The 14,227-nt window shown below is 43.0% G+C and overlaps 1 protein-coding gene across 18 annotated transcripts in view; it reads left to right on the forward strand.

Annotated features, from left to right (window-relative positions):
• SRGAP2 (SLIT-ROBO Rho GTPase activating protein 2) overlaps nucleotides 1-14,227 on the forward strand; it is a 260,896-nt gene that overhangs the window by 179,416 nt on the left and 67,253 nt on the right. For all 18 annotated transcript variants that reach the window (XM_011509354.3, NM_001377444.1, NM_015326.5 and 15 more), the window contains 3 exons: nucleotides 1,058-1,120; nucleotides 9,733-9,948; nucleotides 10,589-10,717. In XM_011509354.3, coding sequence (XP_011507656.1) covers nucleotides 1,058-1,120; nucleotides 9,733-9,948; nucleotides 10,589-10,717 — 408 coding nt within the window. The remainder of the gene's footprint in view (nucleotides 1-1,057; nucleotides 1,121-9,732; nucleotides 9,949-10,588; nucleotides 10,718-14,227) is intronic.

Consider the following 14,227-nt stretch of genomic DNA (forward strand, 5'->3'; position numbering starts at 1 on the left):
TGGCATACAACACTTAGTATAGAAGGTGTGACAATTTCCTTCCTGCTTCCTCCTTTCTTTCCTTTTCTTTTCTTTTCTTTTTTTTGAGACAGAGTCTCACTCTTGTCACCCAGGCTGGAGTGCAATGGTGCAATCTCGGCTCACTGCAACCTCCACCTTCTGGGTTCAAGCAATTCTCCTGCCTCAGCCTCCTGAGTAGCTGGGACTACAGGCGTGTGCCATCAGGCCCGGCTAATTTTTGTATTTTTAGTAGAGATGGGGTTTCACTATGTTGGCCATGCTGGTCTCGAATTCCTGACCTCAGCTGATCCACCCACCTTGGCCTCTCAAAGTGCCGGGATTACAGGTGTGAGCCACCGTGCCCAGCCCTCATTCTTTATTTCTACTGCTCTATGTAGTTAGATGTCAGCCCTGGGTGGCAGCAGCAAAGAACCCAGGAGCCATCACTGCTCAAGATTAACTAGTTGGAGACCCCTTAACATATATTTTCAGCATCTAGTAACAGCTAATCTCACAGGCAGTCAATATTGAGATACCGCTGCCTTGTGAGTTTTGGGTAGAAATAAAGCAAGTAAGAAATATAGTTCCATCCTGCTTGGAGTTTTCTATTTAGTTAGGGACTTTGAAGTCCCTAAATGTTTATATACTTTTTCCTATTTCATCCCATTACACATCTTACTTTCCTTTGAAATCTTCTGGAATGCTTGACTGCAAGTATCTGAGAAACCGTGTTCCACCTAACAACAGTTGCTAGGTAGGATGTGGCTTTCAGGCCTGCTCTTTGGGGACCAATAGAAAAACCAAAGGCTACCACCCTTTTTCCCTCTACGCAATTGCCTTTGCTAGGCTATAGAGAGGGCACATTTCATTTTATTAAAACTCTTTGAGTAATCTGACCATAATTGGGTCTGATTGGAGTGGTTATCTGATTTGCTGGGTTAAATAATGGGCCTTAATTGAGTCTGGGTTATTTGTAGAGCCAGTGTGGCTTTTGCCTTTGTTGCTCCCTCCTCTCTCTTCTGTTTCCCAATTAACCTTCATTCCTCTTTCCTTGCAGAGTAAAGAAGTCGGCCAGCAGCTCCAAGATGATTTGATGAAGGTCCTGAACGAGCTCTACTCGGTAAATCAGATGGGTTGCTTGGCTCTTTAACAAGCAGAGGGAAGCAGCATTTGGCAGCTTGCAGCCATAGTACATCAGCAACAGAACTGAACTGAGGTTGAGGACAAGTGCATGGTCCCCACTGGGGGTGACCCCACCCATCTCTTTTTTCACACTCGTCTTTTCAAAACGGAATGAGTCAAAAAATACTTCCTCAAAATAAGTTTTCTCCTCAGCTATGCAAGCTCACCCTGGCTTTATTTGGGGCATAATTACTAGAGACCAGCCAAAGTCTAGGTCATTGGCACAATGGACCCTGTTAGCAGCAAACCAGGGACCCTGAACTAATGGCAAGGAACGTAGCCTGCATTGCACTATTAATATGTGCCTGTCGGAAAGCCTTTATTGTTCTAGGTTTTTCATCAGATCTTGGATTGATGTATGGCTTTGAGACTAGAACAAATGCTCTAGAGGGCAGCACAGAGTCCTAAATGTCCCCAGTAAGAGGGACCAGTTTGAGCAGAGAGAGCTTTGCCTGGCTTCCTGGAGTTTTATAAAGCCAAACCTCAGTGACGAGGCAGGCTGCGGGCTTGGAGAAGAGAACACAATCTGTTCTGAGATGACTGGCGCTTCAGGCACATGATGCCTGTGGCTGGTGCGTGTTAATTCATGCGCAGAGAGGTGGTGGTGGTGGTTGTTCCCCAGCCATGTTTTTCTAATTATAATGAAAACAAACACACACTCACACACATACACACCAAGGAAATTCCTGTTGTTATACAGGGAATACTTAAGTTATACAGCTAATGCCTTTCAGGGGCCCCTTCTCCAGCTTGGATGTGCCAGCCTACTATGTCATTCTCCAGGGTTTCTCCATCCTGTTTGAAGGTGATACTGATTTCTGATGTTTACTTGCTTATTTGCTGCATTTTTTCTTTTCTTTTCTTCCTTTGTTTTTTTTTTTAATTCACAGAACAGGCAGTGGTGACATGCATGACAGGCATTTGGGATCAGATGTTGCTGATCCAGAAGCCTAGGTGTGGCCATTTTGTCATGGCAACTGTTAAGCAAGTAAATAGGGTAGAGTAGTCATCTGACTTATCTCCAGAGATGTTCAGTTTGTTTTGAATTTCTACTCTGTGACACTTCTGCTCTGAAGCCAAGCATAGATAGATGGTACCTTTCGTTCAACTCCCAAGTTTTCATTTCTCTCAAATGAAGTTAAGAGGTTTTAAAAATAGAAACACATCGATGTGAGCCATTTTCAGACTGGATGGGTTTCCTGAACCTTGTCTTTTTAATGCTTTACTTCTGCTCTTTTAGATCAATTTCTAAGCGCCAAGAAGAGCTATTACTCCTTTCTCCTAGCAGAGAATTCCCTAAGATAGAAAATGACACATGTAGTCATTGTATAAATTCTTTTATTTTCCTGTAAGCATCTTGACCCTCTACTATTTGCAGCTGTTTCTGGGGAGGAGTAGTTTGGATAACCAACAAACCTTGCCACTTCTTCAGTGGGACTCAAGGCAGCAGAAGAAGACTACTGTCTAAGGATCTGTTAGCTTTTACCCAGGGTCCTATGTCTCTTCATATGCTGTGCTTTAAAAAAAAAAAAATAAGTGAAAGGGCGTAAGCTGTGTTTGAGTGAGGAAGAAAACCTTGGAACTTATTTCTCTGGTCTGCAGAGGGCCGAGCTGCTACCTCTGACTGCAGACTTAAGACAGCCCAATATTCGCCAACTACTTTACTGGCCATTGTGAGGCCATGGTCAACATAGAGCATAACATCTTCCCATTGATGTTCAAACTGAGAATTGCCTGAGTGTGGTATCCCCTGCCATAAGGTGAGCTGGAATACACCTTCATAATCTGTTAAAGGCCAAAATTAAAATGTGATGTTTTCCTCTAGTAGGCAATGGAAAGAGGGAAAAAAAAGAGTAGAGGCACTAGGAAGTTTCAGAGAAGTCAAAACATTCTGGTCCAAATGGAGTTTTAAGCAGAGGGAGTTTTACCCCGAGAGGACATTTGGCAATGCCTGAAGACATTTTTGATTGTCACAACTGGAGGAGTAGAAGGTGCTACTGACATCTAATGATCTAGAGGCCAGGGGTGCTGCTAAAATCCTACAGTGCACAGGGCAGCTCCCACAACAAAGAATTATCTGACCCACAATGTCAATACAGAGACATTGACAATCTTCTGACCCACAAGATTGAGAAATGCTGGTCTAGTGACTAGAGTCTCCTGAATTAAGCAGCCTAGATTCTACCCTGTCTTGACTACTAGCTGTATGAGCTTGAGGGATACCCCAAACCTCTATGACCTTGGTGTCTGCATACACTCCATGCACTGGTATTTCTATATCCTAGGGGGTGGAGTAGTTGGGTGAGTTATACTTCCTGAAATATTAGGCTATAGCTAAGGATCAAATAGGTTTCCAGAGTCTGTAGGCCATTAGAAAGTTCAGTGAGCCAGGCTCATGCCTGTAATCCCAGCACTTTGGGAGGCTGAGGCAGGCAGATCACGAGGTCAGGAGATCGAGACCATCCTGGCTAACACGGTGAAACCCTGTCTCTACTAAAAATACAAAAAAAATTAGCTGGGCATGGTGGCGGGTGCCTGTAGTCCCAGCTACTGGGGAGGCTGAGGCAGGAGAATGGCGTGAACCTGGGAGGCAGAGCTTGCAGTGAGCCGAGATCGTGCCACTGCACTCCAGCCTGGGCAACAGAGCGAGACTGTCTCAAAAAAAAAAAAAAGAAAAAGGAAAAAAAGAGAAAGTTCAGAGAATAGCCGGGCACAGTGGCTCATGCCCGTAATCCCAGCACTTTGGGAGGCTGAGGTGGGCGGATCATGAGGTCAGGAGATCGAGACCATCCTGGCTAACACGGTGAAAACCCATCTCTACTAAAAATGTATTAAAAACTAGCCAGGCATGGTGGTGGGCGCCTATAGTCCCAGCTACTCAGGAGGCTGAGGCAGGAGAATGGCATGAACCCAGGAGGCAGAGCTAGCAGTGAGCCAAGATCGTGCCACTGCACTCCAGCCTGGGGGACAGAGCAAGACTCTGTCTCAAAAAAAAAAAAAAAAAAAAAATAGCAGTTCAGAGAATAGAATTATTTCTTCTGGAGATTAAGATAGGTTTAGGACTGGTCTGAATAAGGCACCATGGGATTACGGTGACTAACTGTCCCTCTTTGCCTAGTACTGAAGAGTTTCCTGGGACATGAAATTGTCAGTGATGAAACTGGAAAAGTTCTAGGTTAAAAAGGGTTAATTGGTCACCTTGCATGGGAGAGTGGTTTTATCAGGTGGGAAGCTGGGACTGTTACATGCTAGCTTTGGGAAGCTGCTTGCTGTATGCACACCTTTGAGGAGTCAAGAAGAGAACAAGGGAGAGTTTCTTAGAAGGAGCTTTCCCATTATTTGCTTGTCAGGAAGGCAGGGAAGGGCCTCTCATTTCAATGACGTTGTAGGCAATAGAAGTTATTTGGGGTCACTGGAAAAAGGAAACCAAGGATATAAGAAACCCACCCAGTTTTTTCATGTCCTTCACATCTGCTCCTAATGCCCATGAATACCTTTTTTTAGGGGACTAGTTATCCAAGGGTTGGTAATTTTAGTACCTTTGAACCTTGATGATCCAAGGAGCAGGACCCAGGTGTTCCCAAATAAAGATGCCTTTGGGCACCGGGCCCAGAATGCCGCCATGAGTGGCCAGCTGCCCCTCTGCACCTTCCTCTTTTCTGCCTGAAGGGCCTTTGATTTCCCTGACTTGGCATTCTGTGCTGGGGCCTGCTTCCCACAGCTGCTATTCAGAGAGCAATCCTAGCGAGCATTCTTCTCCACGTGTTTTCCCCCCATAATGAGCTGGCTTGTATGTAAGCCATGGCATAAGTGGTTTTCATTTTCTGACTGATGCACCGGGAATGCCTTTGAAGTCAGAACACACTGCTTCCCAAAGAACTCTGGGATTCTTTGCCTCAGTTGTACTCAGAGGTCGTGTCTGGAAAAACCCAGCAAACCCCCACAGGAAGGAGTGTACATGGAGGCACTGAAGCCAGTGTGGATTGGCTGAGTATGAAGAGTCAAGGAAGCTCTAGAATTGAGAAAAAAGAGGCTTTGGGACACTTTGGGGCTGTTGTTATTCCAGAGGCCTTATGCTTCTGTACTCCCCCTAAATTTACATCCCCTTGGCTTGGAGCAGCGGCTGTGTGCTGGCAGAGCTACTTCAGACTGGTATTTAGCACCTGTTCCCTTGAAACAATGGCACTTAATAGTCTCTCAACTCTGCTTGCCTATTTGACTCTGGCACTAGGCACTAGGGAGACAAGAACAAATAAGAGATGTTTCTGACCTCAAGGCGTTTAGTTTTAATAGGGAGAGACAGAAAAGTAAAGCATCAAGTGAAAAATGAAGTGACAAGAACTCATTTACATGTCTGCACAGAGGACAGGGATGAAGTCAGGCTCCTTGAAGAGATACTTGAATTGAATCTTTATTGCCAAGAACTCTTTTCTTGTTCTCTACATGTTCCCTTTTTTGTTGCATCCAACTTTTGTTTCATGATGCAGTATCGTTTTATTTCTCATTTATCTCTCCAGGGCTATTATGGATATATTGTTTTCAAACTTTTCTTCTTGTTGTATAATATTTCTTCTAAATTGCTAGTTTTGGTCTTGGTCTTTCATATTAGACATTTCCTTTAAATGCCTGGTCATTCTTAGCTGCCTATTCACATTTTAAAGTGAGGCACTAAAAGATTCTATGTCAGCTGTGGCCTTCACAGTAGGGTGTTCTAACTGGGCTGTGTCCTTGTGGAAGCCCCAACTTTAGTATTTCTAGGTCTCTTATCTTGGATGGTCAGATTGCCGAGAGATCACACTTTTGATCTCCCACTCATGTCTGGGAGCTGAGTTGTGAAGAGGCCTAGACCATCTCAAAATTTAACATAGACTTCAGCTAATCCTCCTGTTGAAGTTCAGTATACCCCTATCCTCAGCTGAACCTTGTATCCCCTAGTCCATGGACCCTCTCTAACAGAATAAACCTCTCATCTAGTCTTCCACTACAATGGGAGGGGGATCTTGGGGCCTCACTGTTCTCAGACTTCCTTTTTTTTTTTTTTTTTTTTTTTTTTTGAGATGGAGTCTTGCTCTGTTGCCCAGGCTGGAGTGCAGTGGCGTGATCTCGGCTCACTGCAAGCTCCACCTCCCAGGTTCATGCCATTCTCCTGCCTCAGCCTCCCGAGTAGCTGGGACTACAGGCACCCGCCACCACGCCCAGTTAATTTATTTTTGTATTTTTAGTAGAGGCGGGGTTTCATCGTGTTAGCCAGGATGGTCTCAATCTCCTGACCTCGTGATCCGCCCGCCTGGGCCTCCCAAAGTGCTGGGATTACAGGCATGAGCCGCCATGCCCGGCCTGTTCTCAGACTTTCAATAGCTTATTTTGTGTTTAGCTCTACCTTCATCCCACTGCTACTTATTTCTCTTCGGGCTTCTGTGATATAAATCTGGCTGCTTCCTGGCTCACTCTAGTTTTGGTTTAGGACTCAAGTAGATGAGTTACTGTTTGCCTACCTGCTTTTCGGCTTCAGCTTCCATTCTTTTTGTTTTTCTCAATTTATACCTAAATGATAATCATTTTAGAACCTTTTTTTTCCTATTATTTTAGTGTGGCTGTCAGAGGGAGCAGAGCTAAATATGTGACTTCAGTGTTTAGTTTTTCAAAGTAAAGTGGAATGTTCTTTGCAGAACTGAGAATTTAGACTTTTCAGTTTTTCCCCATAGTTTGCATTTGCCTATCTATATATAGATAGAAGTATGTATATGTATATCTTTATGTATACATATCTATATATACATATATGTGTAGCTATATGTCTAAGACATAGATATATAGATATACATACATTTACATATGTATATGTACATAGATATATATATCTAAGTCCTATCTTGGCTTTCTCTAAGTCCTATCTTGACTATAAATATATATTTATAAATATATATTTAACATGTATATCTGTATCTATATACATTTCTAAGTCCTGTCTTGACTTTCCTATTTTTTCAATTGTTTTGGCATCACTTATTTAAGCTTCAGCTTCTAGGTACCTCAGTTTTCTCTTGAGCTGGAAGGCACTAATAAAGCTTCTCCAGTATTTACCCAGAAGAGAGATTCAGTGTCATTCAGTCATTTGGGCAACCACTTTGTAAAACTACCATTGTGTATATGACATATTTCTCCACTGTGAGAAGAAAACACAAAAGAAGTAGAGCTTAGCGTGAAGAATGTATAGTTTCTTAGGCAAAGTAGCGTTTTACTCTCTTTTAACAAGAAAGTTCTTTAAGTTTTTTAGGGGAAAGTAACATTGTAAATTGTTGATTTTTGTTACTTCATTTGTTGACTTGGTAGCGCTATTCTTTGACCCCTTTTTTATCTCATGTTTATTCATAACGTTTTCTCTTTATCATGCACCTTCATGAAATAGGAAATCACTTTAAAAAAGAAAAAAAGCACTCACTTTTGTAACTTCTCACTAAGCTTTTGAATCCCATGGTCAGATTCAGGTGAAAAAAGAGAAAAAAAAGAGGAGCCTCCTATCTACACTTCTTCAGCTGAGATAACAGATGCCTCTTTTCCACTTCTTAGTTAACCTGGAAAGCTGGGGGTCTGTTTGAATTACTTAGAAAGGCTTTTAAACGCCATTAGTTGTTAAGTATTTTTTCTTCTGTATAGAAAATATGAAGAGTATTATCCTGGTAAAATTTACGGGAAGTAGTGTTAGGTTCAGAATGAGGTGAAACTGATTTAAAACATTCTGCATTCAAAATGAGACATAATTTAGACTCTAATGTACTTTGATTTTGTCAGTGTCCCAGTATTCTTTATTCTTTCATCTGCCTCTAGCTGATCGTAGGGGCTAGATTAGTATACCCACAAAGTCTTTCTAAGCTAGATTTTCTCAGCGTCAGCACCATTGACATTTGGGCCAGATAATTAGTTGTTGTGGGGGCTGTCCTGTGCATGGGATGTTCAGCAGCATCCCTGACCTCTAACTACTAGATGCCAGTAGCAATCCCCAAGTTGTGACAATCAAAAATATTTCCAGACACTGCCACATTTCCCCTGGGGGCCAAAATAGCCCCAGGTTGAGACACTTCTCTAACTCAGGTTCATACATGGAACCAGTTTCTCTTTTCAGGAATATCTTGACCATATTTAACCTTTCCTCCCAACCAGTTCAGCTCCAGTCCTATCCAGAGGAGAGTCGGTGTTGCTTAATGGCTAAGAATGTGGTCTTTGGAGTCTGACAGACCTGGGTTTGAATCCTGATTCCACCATTTACTCATTGTATGACCTTGGGTATGATAGTTAATCTCTCTGAGCCTTATTTCCTTATCTTTAGAAATAGAAATAATAACAGTGTCTTTCACAGAGTTATTGTAAGAATTAAATGAGGTAATGTACGTAAAGCCCATGGTACACAATGTTTATTAAGTGGTAGATATTAATAATAATATTGTACCTTTGCACTCCTGTGTTACACACACACATGCACACACACACACACACACACACACATGCACACACACACCCAACTTCTACTCTCTAATTCTCCATCTCAAAGAAATCTTATGGCATCACACTTTCAGCACTCGTGAACTCCCTGTGTGGAAACAGAAAGTTCCCACAGAGTAGAGCAGGCACTAGGTGGCTGGAAGTAGTATGTTTAGTAGGATTGGAAACAAGCTTGAGTTCTAGGCTTCCTGGCCTCCCTGTTAAGAGAAAGGATTGGACTCCTAGATGGTTGCTTTGATGGAAAATCATCCTTCACCTTTTATACTACTTCCCTCCTGTGGCAATTCCAGTTATACTTGATATGGATTTTATTCCTTCCCAGACTCTTACCTGAATTGTTTTGAAGGCTTACAGTCTTCATAGGGTTGTTGTCTAGATTGTGGAATTGTCCTAAGGATGAAATGAGAAAATGTGTTGTGTGGTACTTGGCATAAAGCCAGGAATATACTAAGTGCTCAGTAAATGATAACTGGCATTGCAGTTGCTGTGAGAGGGTGTTTGATCTGGATAAAGCAGAACAGACAGATCCCCAGAATGCCAGGCCGGTAAAAGGAGCTTTTGGAAGCTTTTCCTCTTCCCTATTTTATATCTGAAAGGTAACAGAAAGCATAGGCTACTCCATAGGCTGCACTGCCCTCTTCGGGGTTCCTGACCAGCCCAGAAAGGCTTTGCCCTTGGGGCCTGAGAGTGGTGGTGTTGTTTCCCATCTACTCAGTATTATGAGGTGACTAAGTGATAGAAATCACCTGGCCAATATTAAAGAGAAATGATTACAAATGATAATGAATAGAAATAAATAATACATGATGGATAGACATTAAGTTATTTCAATAAGAGGAAATGTTGGCTCAGTTCACATATTGCTTTCCTGTGCTTTGGAGTGGTCTTTAATCTGTGTTTGCTGAACCAAACACTTCTGGATTTTTCCCTTAGGGGTGTGAGGATATTGCTTCATGGGGGAGAGCTCCAGCTGAGTCTGTTAGTCTGTAAAGCAGAGAAATGACCCCCTTGGCTTGACCTCTGGGGGTGGGGGTGGGCGATGTCTTGCAGGTGATGAAGACATATCACATGTACAATGCCGACAGCATCAGTGCTCAGAGCAAACTAAAGGAGGCGGAGAAGCAGGAGGAGAAGCAAATTGGTAAATCGGTAAAGCAGGAGGACCGGCAGACCCCACGCTCCCCTGACTCCACGGCCAACGTTCGCATTGAGGAGAAACATGTCCGGAGGAGCTCAGTGAAGAAGATTGAGAAGATGAAGGAGAAGGTATGTAGGCTCCCACAGCTGTAGATGCTGGGAAGCAACATTCGGTAAGGCATGGCTGATAGGAATTTCCCAGTAGTCACTGGGAAGAGCAGACGAGGAAGCTCTGGGTTCTTTTAGTGCCTAATGACTGAAAATGAGGCCTTGCTCTGTGCCCTGGCAGGAATACTAGGTATTGGAAGAACTGGGCACGTGGGATCCAAGTTTCTAGCCTCTAGCAGAAAACCAAGAAACAGCAGTCACCTTTCCCAATCCATTTTCCAAATAGAGCTCAATATCCTATTGCTTTGGAGGGGTTGGGGGTGACTGTAAACCCAGGATTTGGTTTCAGGTATCAGGTGTTCAGGGGCAAGAGTAGTGGTACCTCCTTCAGAGTGGCATTGCAAGAATGAAGAATGATATTTGAAGATAGAATCAAAGTGGGGCACGCATCTTAAGTAGGGAGCCTCATTAACCTTTCCTGAATTGATCTACATTGTGCCCTTGAATCTCATTAAACAGAATTAGAACCCAATTTAAGGCAGATGCGCATAGGGAGTAGCAACACAATTGTAGTTCTTGAATACACTGTACTTTTATCTTTTAGAGAACAAGCCCCCCTTAAAAAAAAAAAGGTAAAAGTGAACTTCTGTTTCCTTTTCAGCGTCAAGCCAAGTACACGGAGAATAAGCTGAAGGCCATCAAAGCCCGGAATGAGTACTTGCTGGCTTTGGAGGCAACCAATGCATCTGTCTTCAAGTACTACATCCATGACCTATCTGACCTTATTGATGTAAGTGCTTAAAGCCAAGGGCCTGAGGGCACCTCTTTTCTGGTTTCAGAATACTCGTCAGACATTCCCCGATACTATTGTTCAGGAATCTGGTGCATTTTGAGAACAATTAGGAAGATAGCAGCCATGATCCATCAGGGTGCTTGCCAAGCACCAAGTGAAACACTTCACACTTATTCAATCCTAACTGGAATTCTGGGAGGAAGGCATTATTATCTATATTTTTACAGATTAACAGAGAGTTTAGATGACTTAGTCAGAGTCAGTTAACAAATGACAGAGGCAAAATTTGCACCTAGGCCTGATGACTCAACCCAGGCTCATAACCACTACACTCGTCTATCTGCCAGGAAATACTTTCTTCCTTTTTTTTTTTTTTTTTTTTTTTTTTGAGATAGAGTCTTGCTCTGTCCCCCAGGCTGGAGTGCAGTGGTGCAATCTTGGCTCACTGCAACCTCCATCTCCCAGGTTCAAGCAATTGTCCTACCTCAGCCTCCCCAGTAACTGGGACTACAGGCATGCATCACCATGCCCAGCTAATTTTTGTATTTTTAGTAGAGATGGGGTTTCACCATGTTAGTGAAGCTGATCTGGAACTCCTCACCTCAGGTGACCTGACCTCAGGTGATCCACCTGCCTCGACTTCCCAAAGTGCTAGGATTACAGGTGTGGGCCCTGCACCCGACCTAGGAAATACTTTATTACATCAGCTTCTCTTGCACAGAAGTGAGTGGCAAGAACTTAACTAAAGAGTTACAATGCCATCCCTTATATTTGTATAGCATTTAAGGTTTCTCAGTGTTAACTCATTTGACTCTCACATCACCATTATGGGTAAGCATTGCTGTCTCCAGTTGCTAGATAAGGAAGCTCAAGGTCCAGAGGACTACGAGACTCACTTGTCCAAGGTTATGCTGCAAATTAGGGTCCTGTCAGGAAGGTATCCAGCTCCCCCTGACATCTGGCCCATTTTTTAAAATATGTGATGCAAAGGGGATTGAGGAAAGCGGCTAATAGGCACATGTGTTTTGCAAGGGGCAAGCGCAGGGATAAGCTTTTTGTTTTTTGCCTGTGAGTTATTCTTGGCCTTGTTTTTCCTGCTGCTTCCCCTTACAGTTGGGTCTTACAAGCCCTCTCACCTACAGACTCCAATCTGGCCCAGGTCCTGAGCCACACCTAAGTGAAGCTATGTAATTACACCCTTTCTCACCTCTCCTTCCAGTCATCAAAGTGAGGCATCTGGAGCCAGCCAATTTAGCATCCCAGTCTCTGGGGCTTCAAGTGTATCTCATCTCGGAGGCCTGCCATTTGTTTCAGGGTCTTGTTGGCAGCAGTTGGGCTTTGCAAAACTCTGGCCCGACCACTCTTGCTTTCCTGCCTTGGTTTCTCCACAAGCAAACCTGCCACACCTCACAACATCATATGGGATTTGGGTCCGAGTCTTGCTGTTATATCACCACCTGGGTCATCTAGGCTTGTCACTGAATTGTTCTGAAACCCAGCTTTGTTTCTCACCCACTCCCAAGCTCCTCTAGCTAACTGAAGAACTGGACTAATTCCCTGGTATTAAAATCTGGCCTCACGTAAGAGTTGCTTGGGGAACTTCTCTAAAATACAGATTCCTGTCTCCCTTTAGCCGAGGATTTTTGATTCAGTAGATTTCAGCCACTTAATGCCCTAGGTGTCATTGTCTCACTGGGTTAGTAGAGCCTTGCTCCCTGTTCTGGTACCTCTTTGTTCTCTCTGCTTATTGATGACAATCTGAACACTGTCCTTCAATGGAGGTCAGAGCCCTAAACAAGATCCTTTCTCCTCCTCAGGGGAAGAGCTCCTCATTGTTGGGAGAGAGGCCTGTTCTCAGCATAAGGAAGAGAATCCATTCTTTCTTATGCACAATTTCTGCTATTTATCTCGCATTTGGTAAAAATTCAGACTGTGCTGTCTGCCACACCACTGCTATTGGTTAGCCCTCTTCTCTTTTTTTGTACTCAAGGCAACTTCCCTACCTTTTTCACCGAAATACTGATCTCAGGGGAAGGGAGGGGTTACTGCTGTATCAGCCACAACCTTTGCAATCCATAGATTCTCCATCAGGTATAACCAAGTGTTTTAAAATCAGTCCAAGAAGTGAGGTATTTTGTACCTTATTTTCATCATTTAAAAAAAAAAAAACGTCTGCTAAGAGCCTAATTTCACAGGATGTGGTGTGACATGCCATTGAAAAAGAGGCTGCCTTAGTACTTGGCAGGGTGTGGGTCTAGATCACTGGGATCAAAAGGCTACATAGGTAGTAATAAAGTTTCTCATGTTTCTTTTTTTTTTTTTTTGAGAAGGAGTCTCTCTCTGTCGCCCAGGCTGGAGTACGGTGGTGCGATCTCGGCTCACTGCAAGCTCCGCCTCCCAGGTTCACGCCATTCTCCTGCCTCAGCCTCCCGAGTAGCTGGGACTACAGGCACCCGCCACCACGCCCAGCTAATTTTTTGTATTTTTTTAGTAGAGACAGGTTTTCACTGTGTTAGCCAGGATGGTCTCGATCTCCTGACCTCGTGATCCGCCTGCCTCAGCCTCGTTTCTTTGCTGCTGTTTTGGTTGTGTCTTGTTTTAGTTTGTTGGTTGGTTGGGTTTTTGTTGTTTTTCCTGGGATATGGACACATTCATTATTTTTTTTAAAGTTGTATTATTCTGCTCTATAAATGTTCAGTAAATATTTATTTAGGGAGAAGCCACGTGCTCAGTATTGGGGTAAAAATGGATTATAGTAGTTCTCACCCTAGAGGTAGTCATAGGCTGTAAGACAACATTTTTCAAACCATTGGTCAGATCCCTTAAGAAAGCCAGGAAATCACTTTTATTGGTTTAACCTGTGTTTTCAGATGACTAGATGAGACTAGAATAAGAAAGAAAATATTAGAGTACATCACATTGGTAAGATTATGTGAAACTTTTATGTTAGATATGTATGTACACACTTGTACATCCTATGGGGGAGTGTGTGACAATAGAAGATGTGTTTCTTATTGTGAGTTGGGAGTCAAAAAAGTGTTTGTGAGCCATTGTACTATGAACAGAGGAAGATCTCAGTCTCATCTGTTAAGTTCTGTGAGAGCAGGAACCAAGAGTTTTCTTTACCTTAGTAGCCTCCAGTGCTTAATATATAGCTGAGCACATAGTGTGTTTACTGAAGGAAGAAAGGAATAGAAAGAGGAGGAAGATGATCATCTAAGCTAAGATCGGTTTTTCTTTTTGTACCTTTCAATATGGTTTTGAAGTATAATTTACATACAGTAACTAAACTTAAGTGTTACAGTTTCAAGAGTTTTGACAAATTTGTACATCTTTGTAACCTATGTCAAGATATAGAATAAATATTTTGATAAGAGATATCTTTCCATTGCCTCAGAAAGTTTCTCTTGTCTCTTCCCAGCCAATCCCCCACCCCAAGGCAACCACTGTTATGATTTCTTTCACCATAAATTAGTTTTGCCCATTGTAGAACTTCACAAAGATGGG

The sequence above is a fragment of the Homo sapiens genome, chromosome 1, assembly GCF_000001405.40.
Source record: "Homo sapiens chromosome 1, GRCh38.p14 Primary Assembly".
In the NCBI taxonomy this organism is placed as follows: Eukaryota; Metazoa; Chordata; class Mammalia; order Primates; family Hominidae; genus Homo; species Homo sapiens.